Below are 13,021 nucleotides of genomic sequence, written 5' to 3'. Positions count from 1 at the left end.
TCAGCCTTGCACACAATATGGCTATACAGGCTACTTTAACTGTTAGGATTTTTTTGCTTTAAGTAAAATTTTACCAAGTTGATGTGTAACTCTAGTTTTATCTTCAGGAAGTGATCTATCACTGGAAAATGGAGTTTCAAAGGAAAAGTACTTCTAAAACAATAAAATAATAAATGAAAAATACATTTTAAAATTTAAAAATAATAAAGATAAACTTTGTCATTAGAAAGGCTGGAAGTTGCTGCTTCTTTCACTTTGAAAGTGCTAACATATACTCTTTAGGGACAAGGAAAGACACTATAAGATCAACTTCTTGTGAGTTAATTAAGCAGAGTCAGTTGTATAAGTGGTGAATGGGGGAGAGTTAAATGGAAGATGGAGGAGAGTTTGTTTAAAAAGCTCAGCAAGGAAGAGTAGAAGCTCTTGATACCCAACTGTTACTACCCTGTAATTTTGCTTCAGCTTATGTGAGGATCATATCTCATTCATCTGTATTATCCCAGGATCTAGATATTCCCAGGATGAAGCATAATCTTAGATCCTCAGTACATGCTTGATTGACTGAATGCTTCCCTTTTTTTGCCTTGGCTGCCAGGAAGCTCAGAGGTAAATTGAATGCTTAAGTGCAATAATAAAAAAAAAATCTTGCTTTATGTGTGGCAGAATTATAATTGTCCTAAATTTTTAAAAAATTAATTCAGTTTGATCTTGAGATGTTTACATTGAGCTGTGTAATAATATATTTTATTTGCTTATTTCCTGGTTGTAAATGTGTTCCTTAAAGAAGTCTAATGAGTGATTTCAGATAAGCTAGATGTTACTGTACACATTTATCTCTCCCTGCAAAACAACTATGTTCATCATAAATGTATGTCCAGGCAAATCGTAATACAAGTAATATATTAGGGCAGACAACTAGTGTATTAGAGTAGGCCACCTTCTCATTGGCTCAGCACAACACAACTTTACAGTGACATAGGAGAGCTCTGTTCCACATAGTCATCTAGGGACTCTTTATATCTAGACATTCCCTTATTCTGAAGGCCTTAGAGTCACTCAAGAAGTGAGATATGGAAGAAAATTAGGGGATGTCATGCACTAGGTGTGAAGGTTGTGTACCTCTCTTGTACACATTCCAGTGGCTGAATCACAGCCACATGCCACATTAAGAGAGGCTGGGCAATAGAAACTTTAGCTTTGCACCCAGGAAGAAAGGAAATAAAGTTAGCCAGTGCGTTGCCAGACTCTGCTGCAATTGACATGTGATTATTTTCTAAAAGGATTTTTGAAAACCTATACCGAGTAGACACATTATCCTATTAACATTTTCAGTTCAAATTTTTTCTTCTTTGTTTCTTCTTACAAAGTGGTGTTTTGTCACTGTACAGTTTTTTGTTTTGTTTTGTTTTGTTTTGTTTTACTTAACATGAGTTTTTTCAGGTTGCTGCATAACTTTGTAGCCATAATTGTTTATCTCTAAACAAGACTATACTAAAGAGTTAGATTTAATCACAACCTTAAAGTTGAGCATTTGGTTGTTTCCATTTGGGAGCTATTATAAATAACATTAAGCTTCCCAACTGCTGTGTTGCTGTGTTTTCTGATTTGCACAGTGGCAGAAATGATGTTGAGATCTTTCAGATAAGTTTAGGAGGACATTGTCTATAGTTGACTCTAACCTACACTCTGCCCTTACAGTGCTGAAAACTTGCATCAAGGCAAGAGCTGGTTGCTCTTCCTCCCCTCAGGTCCATTTCCTGCTCCTGGTGAAACCTCTCGTGGGTGCTTTGTGTTTCCCCCACCTAATTCATTCTTCTTACTTCCTTGATGTATTCATCTTGCTTCTGTCTGTAGCATCTGTGGCTAAGGTTTTGATTTAAATTTAGAATGGTCTTTGATTCTACGTAGGACTGAAGTTGCAAAGCATTTTGAGATAAAAGCATAGTATATGAAAAGACCAATTTAGTAATCTGAAATAGCGTTTTCCAATCATGGCACCATTGACATTTTGGGATGGAGGATTCTTTATTGCAGGTGACTCCCTTGTGCATTGTAAAATGTTTAGCAGCATCCCAGGTCTCTGAATCTAGAAGCCAGTAGCAACTCCCAGTTATGACAACCAAAAATGTCTCCAGACATTGCCAAATGTCCCTTGGGGAGCAAAATTGCCTGTCGTTGAGAACCACTGGTTAAAATTGTACCACTTTGATGGTTTATTTGTATTTCTTATTTCTTCATGAGGCTGAATATCTTTAAAAAAATTTTTTTGGCCACTGTGTTTTTAAGTTCAGAAATAGCTTGGCATTTACATCACGTGTTTTTCTTTTTGGATATTCACCCTTTCAGTATTAGTTCACAAGAGCTCCCTAGGTATTAAAGACAGGGAACAAAATAATGCAGTGTTTAAGAGCTTGTGCTCTGGGCTCAGATGGCTTGCGTACGAATTCTCACTCAATGTTTTATTAATTTTGTAACCACAAGCAGGTAAGTTAGCATTTCTATACCTTAGCTTCCTCATTTGTAATTTGGGCATATGATATGACAATACCTCACAAGATTAGTGTGAAGGTGTAAGGGTCTTTAGTTCTGTACCTGACATAGAGTAGAAGCCCTATATTTGAGATATGATCACTTGGTAATGGACGTCAGGTGAACAAAATTCAATTATGGTCCCTAGTTTGTGAAACTGCATCATTGGTCCATGTGTGACCCACTTCTACCTTCCTCAGTCATACATTTAAAAAAAATAGTGGTGAATTATGCATAACACAAAATGTACCATCTTAACCATTTTTAAGTGTACCAGTTCATAGTGTTAAATATATTCATGTTGTTGTCCATCCAATCTCCAGAATTTTTTCATCTCAGAAAACTTAAAGTCTATACCCATTAAATAATGACTCCTCATTTCCCCCTCCCTGGCAACCATTGTCCTGTGTTCTGTCTCTATGAGTTTTGCTACTCTAGGTACTTCATGTAAGTGGATATCTTTTCATGACTGGCTTATTTCACTTAGCATAATGTCCCCAAGGTTCATGCATGTTGTAGCATGTGCCAGGACTCCCTTCCCTTTTAAGGCTGAATGGTATTACAGTGTATGTATATGCCACATTTTGTTTATCCACTCATCTGTTGAGAGGCACTTGAGTTGTTTGCATCTCTTGGCTATTGTGAATAATCCTGATATGAATATGGTTGTATAAATATACATTTAAAAAATATATCATGAACATTTGTGCAACTACCACACAATTGAAGGACTGGAATATTAACAATAGACATCTTCCTACGTTCTCCAGAAAAAAATACCATTCTAAATTTTGTATTTCTTCTTACTTTTATCATTTTCTCAGCTTGCTCATATAACTAATGAATGTTAATAAACTACATCTGTGTTGTTCCATGTAGCTGTAGTTCATTCATTTGACTACTGCATGAAATTCAGTTGTGTGAACAGAACACAGTTTGTGTATACATTCACTTTTTGAAAAGGCATTTGGGTTGCATGTAATGCTTTCAATTACAGACAGTACTGCAATGACCATTTGGGTGCATGTCTCCAAGCGTAGCAGGGCAAGTGTTTCTTTCAAGTACATAGCTGGGGTGGAATTGCTGGGTCAAGGTATACGTGAACATTCGACTCTTTACAAAATAATGCCAAATCTTGTACCAATTTACACTCTTTCCAAAATTGTATGCAAGACTCTCTTGAGCTATGTCTTCAACACTTTGTACAGTCAGGCTTCTACATCCTTGCCAATCAAAAAGTTATGAGATGACAATTTATCATGATATTTGTATTTCCATAATTACTAATGAGCTTGAGCATTTAAAAATATCTTTACTGGCCACGTGAATTTCTTCTTCTGTGAAATATCTGCTCATGCCTTTTGGTTAATTATTTTTATTCATAATAGTTATATAAACCTTTCTATGTCGTATTAATTTTGATTTTTGCACAGTTTTGGCCTTTGTCTTCTGCCTTTGCCTTGGACATAATGTGTTTTTTGATATGATTATTGACCATAACCTCTTATGTCATGTAGGTGATATTGTCATCCTTACAAAACCACTCGTGGTGTCTAAAGGTGATAGAGGTTTCTTAACAACCACCACGCTCCTGGCTGTGGACGGAACAGACAAGCCTGAGGAACTGCTCTATGTCATCACCTCCCCTCCGCGATATGGCCAGATCGAATATGTTCACTATCCTGGAGTTCCCATTACAAACTTCAGCCAAATGGATGTAGTGGGGCAGACAGTTTGCTATGTACACAAGAGCAAGGTGACTGTCTCCAGTGACAGATTCAGGTGAGCCCCATGGAAACTTTTCAAACCCCTTCTTTGGATTAATACTTACAGAAAAGGAGATCTGTTAATGTGCTTCACTATAGTAACCATTTCACAAAATACATGTATCTTATAACATCACGCTGTATACCTTAAATTTATAGAATGAAATTTGTTTTTTAAAAAAAGGAAAGAAAAGGAGAAAAAAATGAGTCATTTTTCAGCTCTGGTGCAGCTGTGTTTTTCTTTTACTGTCTTGTTGTATGTAAGGTGAAGCCACACGATTAAAATGACAGAAGCAAAGCAAGAAATTAGGGCCTGTTATTGAAAAATATACACAGTAAACAGATCTTTATGCAAGTTCTGCTACGAGGAGAAATGTGAAAAGCTGAGGCTCCCAGCTAAAGATAGATCTGGAAAAGTCATTTCCCTCTTTTTGGAGTATGTTTTTCTGTCTGACGAAAAGGGATTTATTAGTAAACATTTGGCATAAACAGAGACTGCCTTTTGACACAATGTGTTCTGGTAACTGTATCATAAATCATGTTGTCATAAAGTAGATCATATTTCCCCATAGAAACAATGTTGTAATTGGGGGCTGCGCACCTGTTCCAGAATTCCGTATCAAATAAATCATTGGAATGAATAACAATCTGGTGAAAAGGCAAAGATACAACATTAATGAAAATCTACATTCATTTAAAATATGGAAATTTGTTTCAAGTCACATAAAGCAAGAGCCAAGTCCAGAAGATCTATAATCTCGCAGCTCTCAAAGCTGGTTGATCCTGAGGTCCTGGAGAGAAACACAGATCCCCAGGCCGGGCATGAGAACTGGGAAATGTTGGACTTTGAACGAACCATTGTATACAATCCAGTTTTGAGTTCTGTCAGTTCAGAAGGAGGCCTGGAGAGCACTGGTTTGTCTATTGTACACCCACACTTTTGGTTCCTGGTGCAATTTTCACCACGTCACAATACAGTCTTCTAAAGAGCACTATAAAATAACATAAATGGAGCATACTCCTATATTATTCAATGGGTTCCCATAAACTATCAAGTATCACTGTCACACCCATGTTCGAATATCACTGTCCTCTATCTTACTTTTACCTATCTAAATTCAATATATCTGCTCTGATAAACACTGGTTAGATGTCAGTAAAGAGGATGCTGCTCACCTTTTTAGCATTAAAATGATTTTTGAAAGCTGATTTGGATAATCCAACAAAACAAAACAAAAAATCCCAGAAAGCTGGAACGAATATCTTATTTTTTTCTCTTGATAAGTGTCCCTTAACAAGCAGGTAATCATTTAATTGATCAATATTTTAACTAGTTCAGTCTTTGAGTGTTGCTAGGCATTCACTAAAATGTGAGATGTGGGGATTCCTTTTCAAGCTGGCTCTTTTGTTTGAGAGATGGAGTAGTGAAGTTAAGATACAGGCTTGGGGGCAAGAACTGCCTGAGTGACTCACAACTCTGTGACAATCATCAGGTTACACAACCTCCTGTGCTCTTGTTTCCTCTTCTTTGAAATGGAATGATGCTCGTAGCACCTGCCTCACAAGGTTGCGGGAGGTTTATATGAGCTTATGCATGTAAAGTATTAGTAGAACAACACCTGGCACATAGGAAGAACTAAGTAAGTGTTAGCTACTACTCTTACTGTCGTTGTTGTTGTCATTATATTCTTTCCTTGACGACCTTCTTCCAATCTTTACAACACCAAGTATGATCTTGAAGGAGGAAAGGAGTTACCAAGAGGAGCAATGATTGTTCTTTTTTTCCTGTTTGCTTATGAAGGCTGGGTGCTTCTTGGCTTAATACATTTGTATCAGATCCAGGGCTTTTAATTTTACATGCATTTCTGGAACTTCTAGCTTCTTTCATTTCCTGCTTCCCTCCGTCAATGCCCACAGGACAGTCTGCTGAAGACATTAGTGACTGTCTTGAAGAAACCAGTGACCTTGCTGGAGAACACAGGACTGAATGCATAAAGATGTTCAGAAATGAAGGTTAGATATTAATCGAATGGTGAGAATAAAGAACAAAACCTCCGTATGAAACGATTGGCAATACTGTAAAAATTTCCTAATTTGCATCCAGAGAAAGTCTTATTAGATGGCATTTTAGAAATCATTTATCCCAGGAATTTCTACATTTCTGGATCCTCAGATAATTGCCAGAGAGAACTACAAAATGCAAATTCTTGGGCCTTACCCCAGAGAGGCAACTTTGGTAAGTCCAGTCTCAGGCCCAGAAATCTGTATTTTTGAAAGATATCTTCAGGTAATTCTGATGCAGTCAGGACTAGCCATCAATAGTCTGGTCTAGTCTGTTGTTCTGAATTGTTCTGAGGAGCCTCAAGAATTTATGGAAGTTGAGGCTGGGGCAGTGGCTCACGCCTGTAATCCCAGCACTTTAGGAGGACGAGGCAGGTGGATCACCTGAGGTCAGGAGTTCGAGACCAGCCTGGCCAACATGGCGAAACCCCGTCTCTACTAAAAATACAAAAAATTAGTTGGGAGTGGTGGCGGGCACCTGTAATCCTAGCTACTTAGGAGGCTGTGGCAAGAGAATTGCTTGAGCCCGGGAGGCAGAAGTTGCAGTGAGCCACGATGGTGCCACTACACTCCAGCCTGGGCAACAAGAGCGAAACTCCATCTCAAAAAAAAGAATTTATAGAAGCCTTTTTAGGGCCTCCCAGAGATTGAGATTCTGGGGCCTTCAGCCCAATGTACTGATGGAACTTAGGTGTGTGTGTTGTGTGTGAGTGTGTGTGGGTGTTGATACTAAAAACAGTACTATAAATACCATAAAACTAAATATAAGAAAACAAATTTTTTATGCTTGCAAGTATTCAGTTTTTAGTAGTTAAAAGGTTTCCTTTTAAATACATTGATTCAAGTTAAAAATTGAATTGATAGAAAACTAGTAAATAATAAGAGTACACATAGTACAGGCATATGGCAAAAATATGGTTTCAATTACTCAAGATTAGGAAACAAGGTTTTAGGGAGAAAATAAACAATAAAGGCTGAAAAGCATTGATTTGGTGCAATCCCTTATTTACACATAGGAAAGCTAGCATTGCCTGAACACCTGCAATGCACCAGAGAATGTCCTGGACTTTTTTTATATGTTATTTTTCTTAAGCCTTATGACACCACCTTGCGAGAGATGCAATAGTGTTCCCATTGTACACATGAGAAAACCAAGGTTCCAAGAGGCAAAGGAAGTCACCTAAACTGACATAACTGAGTATCACTGCTGAATTTGGGGCTCAGAGCTCATTTCCAGTAGAAGGTTCTTTCCATTATACCTCGTTGTACCAAAAATTTGTGGAGAATATGCATTTGTGTGAAGGAACCTCCTCAATGTGTCATTCTGATATTTGGCCAGCAGTTTTACATATTTATAATGGAAGAGCCTAGCGTCTGCCCAAGACCCAAATTTTAATCTTGTCATTTCACTAACCCAATCACGGACTGCTATGTTGTTTGTCAAGTGGCGCTAAACCAAAGCTGAAAGCCTGTTTTAATGAAAGTGTGATCATGGTGCTTTTTAAAAATTAAATATATGCAACCAATCTAATCACCTAAATTTATGTTGCTTGCTGTTAAATTTGGCAAGGAATTTGGCTGGGTAGAAGAGATAAATTCTGTGGCAGAGGATTTTCCCCCTTCCATTTTTAATGTAAGCTATGGCAGCATTAATTAAATGGGGGAGTTTAATAGTCAGATTTTACCTTCTGCAAAAATATTTTGTGAATCATAAATTTCTCCTGCATTGTTTGGTGCTGCTGGCCTGGAAGAAAGATTTGGCAGCATGTTCTAGGACAGATGACACCGAGTGATTAGCAAGCTGACTTCAGCTGCTGGCAGCCGGGTACTAAAAGAACATGCTAATGTCCTCCATTTTGACATGCCGGCTGGACTTTTTTTTTTTTTTTTTCTGAGGAGCTGGCGCTATTTATGATTCCATTTTTATCTCTTAAATGCCATGACAGATGGCAGCTTCTTCAGCCAACTCTATTGCCAGGCAATGCAGAAAGCTTGAAAGCACCGTGGTAATGGTGAAATCAGACCAGGCAGGCACCCCAGTCAAATCTGAGAGTTATTCCCCAAATTTCATGAGAGCGGTGGTCATCTTGGCTGCATCTCTTCTCAGGGGGATGTAACAAGGGAAATTAAACAAAATGGATCCACAGAAGGAGCTGCTACCACCAACTTCTTCACCTCAGAATGGATACCAACATAGCAATGGCTTTATGGTTTTAAACATTGAGAATGTATTTGGAGGATTTAGGGGAGGGGGTATTTGGAAGACCATCTGATTGATCAGCTTTTCCAGACATGAACAGCACTGACCTTTTTTCACGTGTACTGCTAGCTTTATTTTGACTGGGAACTCAACCGTAACCATTCATTCTGTCCCTCTCTCTGATGATGTCTCTCTGCCTGTGAGTAGTTTGCACTGTTACTTGTGAAAGTGGAATGATGTTATTTGATCCAGTCATGTTTAGAAATTGCATCATTTTCACCCCTGGCCTATTAGCTTTAGGTCAGCACTGACAGCTGCCTTGGTGTCCCAGATAGGAGCGCTGGCCTCAGAAAACATATTTCTTACTCTTCTGTGGTCTGTGGCCCGCGTGCCCTCACTCCCATCTGTCTGATGGCAGGCTGCCTGTTTCCAACGTGGGCAGATCACGATCTTCCAGCAGGGAGGGGTTTGAGATGGACAGCCTGGATCATAAGACAACTGCGGTGACCTCACAGAGGCCATGCACGCATCGAGTAGATGTGGCCGTCCTGAGATGAGCTTTGAGGACCCCGTCAGGCATTCTTGCAATTCAGTCTGCAGGGAGGAAAGTCAGAATTAGATATTCAAGATGGCCGCCTCTGATGGAGTCCCTGGCACTCACTCAAGCTTGCATTTGGGTTTGTTGCTCCTGGTCCCATCTCTCCCCTTCTTTCTTCTTCCTTCTCTGCTGATATTTGACATACTTTTAATAGTGCACAATGTCTATAGCTCTACAATTAATGCTAATGCTAAAAATACACGTCCTTTGGCTTATATTTGCGCTAAGGTACCAATGGCTGATTTAACACTCTCCACAGAGCACACTTGATACAGGGATCTGGTAAGGAACAGAGAGCCAGTTTAATGTGAAACAGGGTAGAATGAGAGGTGTGAAACATATTTCTGGAGGGGGAAAATGGGAAAAAGGGAACTTGGAGGCACTGAGGGAGCACCTAGCCTCCTTCCTATTTTATTGTGGGTCAGATGATAGGATCTGGGGGGAATATGAAAAAGTAACAGAAAAACAATAGAATAAAGGCATAACTCTGTTCTCAGGCTCTGCCTGAGAAATAAAGCATAATTTTATACCTAAAAATGTATATCAGTTTACTTTTGAAACTGTGAAGGTGACTAAGTAAAAAGTTTGAAGAACAGACATATTTTTCTAGGTTCCTTTATTTTCTTTTTTAAAATTATTTTTCTTTTTTTAAGATGGGCTTTTGCCATGTTGCCCAGGCTGGTCTCAAACTCCTGAGCTCGAGCGCTCCACCCACCCCAGCCTCCCAGAGTGTCCAAGCTATAGGCGTGAGCTACCGCGCCTGACTTCCTTTCCTTTCCTTCCCTTCCCTTCCCTTCCCTTCCCTTCCCTTCCCTTCCCTTCCCTTCCCTTCCCTTCCCTTCCCTCCCTCCCCTCCCTCCCCTCCCTCCCCTCCCTTCCCTCCCTTTCCTTTCCTCTTTTTTTTTTTTTTTTTTTTTTTGAGACAGGTTCTCTGTCTGTTGCCCAGGCTGGAGTGCGGTGGCACGTTCATGGCTCACTGTAGCCTCAACCTCCCAGGATCAAGTGATCCTTCCACCTCAGCCTCCCTAGTAGCTGGGGCTACAGGCACGCACCACACCCAGCTAAATTTTGTATTTTTTGTAGAGAAAGGGTTTTGCCATGTTACCCAGGCTGATATTGAACTCCTGGACTCAAGCCATCTGCCCGCCTTGGCCAGCCAAGGTACTGGGTTTACAGGTGTGAGCCACTGCACCAGCCTCTTTTATTTTTTTTAATAAATAATTGATTTTTATAAATGCCTCATGATCCAGTAATGAAATTGCCCAATTTGTTAAAAATATACTTATCAAAGGTTTAATTTTATGAAAGGAAAACTGATTGGTTTGTTTTGAGAAAATTATGTGATTTTGCTCAATCTATAATTCTAAAGGTAACTGAATACCTTTATTCAAGGTGTAAAAAATGCTGCTGTGGGGGAAATGTATGAGGTTTCATTCTTTACAAGTCGAGGTGTGTGAAATGTCAAAATTTACTTTATTTGTTGTATTTCACTTAGCAATTTTAACTTTTTGGACATAGATTTCTTTTTCTTTGCATCAAATCAGATATATTTTCCTTGTCAACAGTCTTATTAACTAGATAATTAGAAAACTAAAAAACTTCAGCATAGCCTTCAAAGCAATATCAGTACTCAGCCAAACTCATCTCTTTTTACTTTTTGTCTAACTGCCCTCCCTGAGTCCGTGGTCGCAGGCAGGCTGGTTGACTCGTTGCTTTCACACTATCTAATAGCTTCAGGTTTCTTCATGCTCAAAAGGATCAATGCTCAAACCCTGAAGGACAAGACACATTTCACAAAGAATAAAGGGATTGTTAGTCAAATCTGCCAGATTTGTAAAATAAATATAAATGCCATACCTTCTCTAGTTAAAAAAGAACTTCCAAAGAAAATATACAATTTATATATGTATATAAAATTTATACATAAAAATGTTATGTATAGTTTATACATTCTACGAAAGCATTAGTTTTAGAGGTTTTTGTATCGGTGGAATAGAAGAGTGCATCCTCTACGAATATTTCCAGCAACTATGGTACATGGAGAAAAGCTAACAAGGCACAATTCTGTGATTATTTCTAAGTACATTTCTTTGGTGTACAGTGAATTTGTCAGTCCCATTGGATAGTAACGATTTCCTAACTTTTTGGAGTTTTAATATTGTGCCTTGTTTGCATAATTTCATGATACTCTTAATCTTATTGAAATAAAAATTACATATTGTAATGCTACAAAGATCATTTAAATCAGTGTTATTGTGAAATTGGCTTCAGTAGGTAGAATGTGATTTCATGATCAATAGAATCAAAAGCACATTAAGATATCACAAACCTAAGACTGTAAGAAAGATTTTGCTTGTCTCAAATGTGTATCATTTCAGCTTTCTTTTTATAGTTTTGCAATGGTGCTCAGGCACCACAACTCTTTTGTGGTGGATTGCTAAACCAGAATTTGTTTTAAACTCTGCAAGAGTAGTGGGTGCAGGGATTAAAAGACCTGCATTCTAGTCTCAGCTTCATCTCCTACCTGCCCTTATGATCTCCCACCAACTTTGTGAACCTTTCTTTGAAGCAGGAAAATAATCCTTGTGTAGCATAACTCTCATCTGTCTTATAGGGGGAGAAAGTGCAGAAGCACATGTAAACCATAAGAGATTAGAGCCTCCCGTCATATTTTAGAGTTGGGTGGTACTTAATGATCTTCTGGTCCATCCCCTTCATTTTTCAGAGCCATGGAAATGAGGCCTGGAAGGGGAAGATGATTTAAGTGAGATTACATGTCTGAGAAATGTGATCTGCTATTAAGAAATTTACCATAAAAACGTATGAGTAGAATGAATTAGCTAAATTCAACTCATTTAGCACTTTATTGTATTGGCCTCCCAGTTGTCAGACTTACAACTTTAGTCTATTACACACCAATGAAGAAAAAAACAATTGAAAAATTATAAATAAATAAAGGGGGTATACTCTTCAAATTTGTATGATGAGTCTCATTGGATGTGAAATTTTTATTTGCGTCAAGGAACCACATTAAGCACTGATGAGCCTGAGAAATATGATTGTCAGAATTTCCCTGTTCCATCACATGGGTCTGTCATTAATGTTGTTGGGAAAATATTCTTGGGTGTAGAATGGTCCATTTATGCATTACTCTAGTGACTGGTTTAATGATAGGGATTTTTCTGCAAGATCTGCCCTTGATTTTTCATTTGAGTCACAACACGACAATACCCTTTAGTAAAGGTGTGTATTGTTATCATTTCATTCCAGTAGATGGTGACACAAGAATCCATGCTGAAGGCTGCCTTGCCTCTCTTTACCAGATTCATCATCAGCAATGGACTGCGGACCGAGCACGGGGTGTTTGAGATCACACTGGAGACTGTGGACAGAGCCCTGCCTGTGGTAACCAGGAACAAGGGGTTGAGACTGGCCCAAGGGGCCGTGGGCCTGCTTTCCCCTGACCTCCTTCAGCTGACCGACCCTGATACACCTGCGGAGAACCTCACCTTCCTCTTGGTTCAGCTCCCCCAGCATGGCCAGCTCTACCTGTGGGGGACAGGGCTACTTCAACACAATTTCACCCAGCAGGATGTGGACAGCAAGAATGTGGCCTATCGGCACTCAGGAGGGGACTCCCAGACTGACTGCTTTACTTTCATGGCCACAGATGGGACAAACCAAGGCTTTATTGTGAATGGGAGAGTGTGGGAAGAACCTGTTTTATTCACCATTCAGGCAAGTATGAAAAACACAGTTCATTTGCCAGAGATGTGAAAACAGTGACATCGAGAATTTTTTTTTTTTTTTTTTTTTTTTGAGAGGGAGTCTCTCTCTGTCACCCAGGCTGCAGTGCAGTGGCGTGAT

General features: G+C 39.0%; 1 protein-coding gene across 33 annotated transcripts in view; it reads left to right on the top strand.

Moving 5' to 3' along the window:
• Positions 1-13,021, top strand: part of FREM1 (FRAS1 related extracellular matrix 1) — a 173,844-nt gene that overhangs the window by 122,315 nt on the left and 38,508 nt on the right. For 18 of the 33 annotated variants that reach the window (NM_144966.7, XM_047422844.1, XM_047422847.1 and 15 more), the window contains 2 exons: positions 4,047-4,311; positions 12,478-12,892. The exons of 1 other annotated variant lie outside the window; for it this stretch is intronic. In NM_144966.7, the coding sequence (NP_659403.4) occupies positions 4,047-4,311; positions 12,478-12,892 (680 nt within the window). Of the gene's footprint in view, positions 1-503; positions 607-4,046; positions 4,312-8,249; positions 9,234-12,424; positions 12,897-13,021 lie in introns of those variants that run through there. 14 more of the 33 variants (NR_163239.2, XM_047422851.1, XM_047422849.1 and 11 more) reach the window with 8 other exon arrangements.

Source organism: Homo sapiens, chromosome 9, assembly GCF_000001405.40.
Source record: "Homo sapiens chromosome 9, GRCh38.p14 Primary Assembly".
Taxonomy (NCBI): Eukaryota; Metazoa; Chordata; class Mammalia; order Primates; family Hominidae; genus Homo; species Homo sapiens.
Note: the sequence above shows the minus strand (reverse complement) of the source record. Positions and strands in the feature narration are given on the sequence as shown.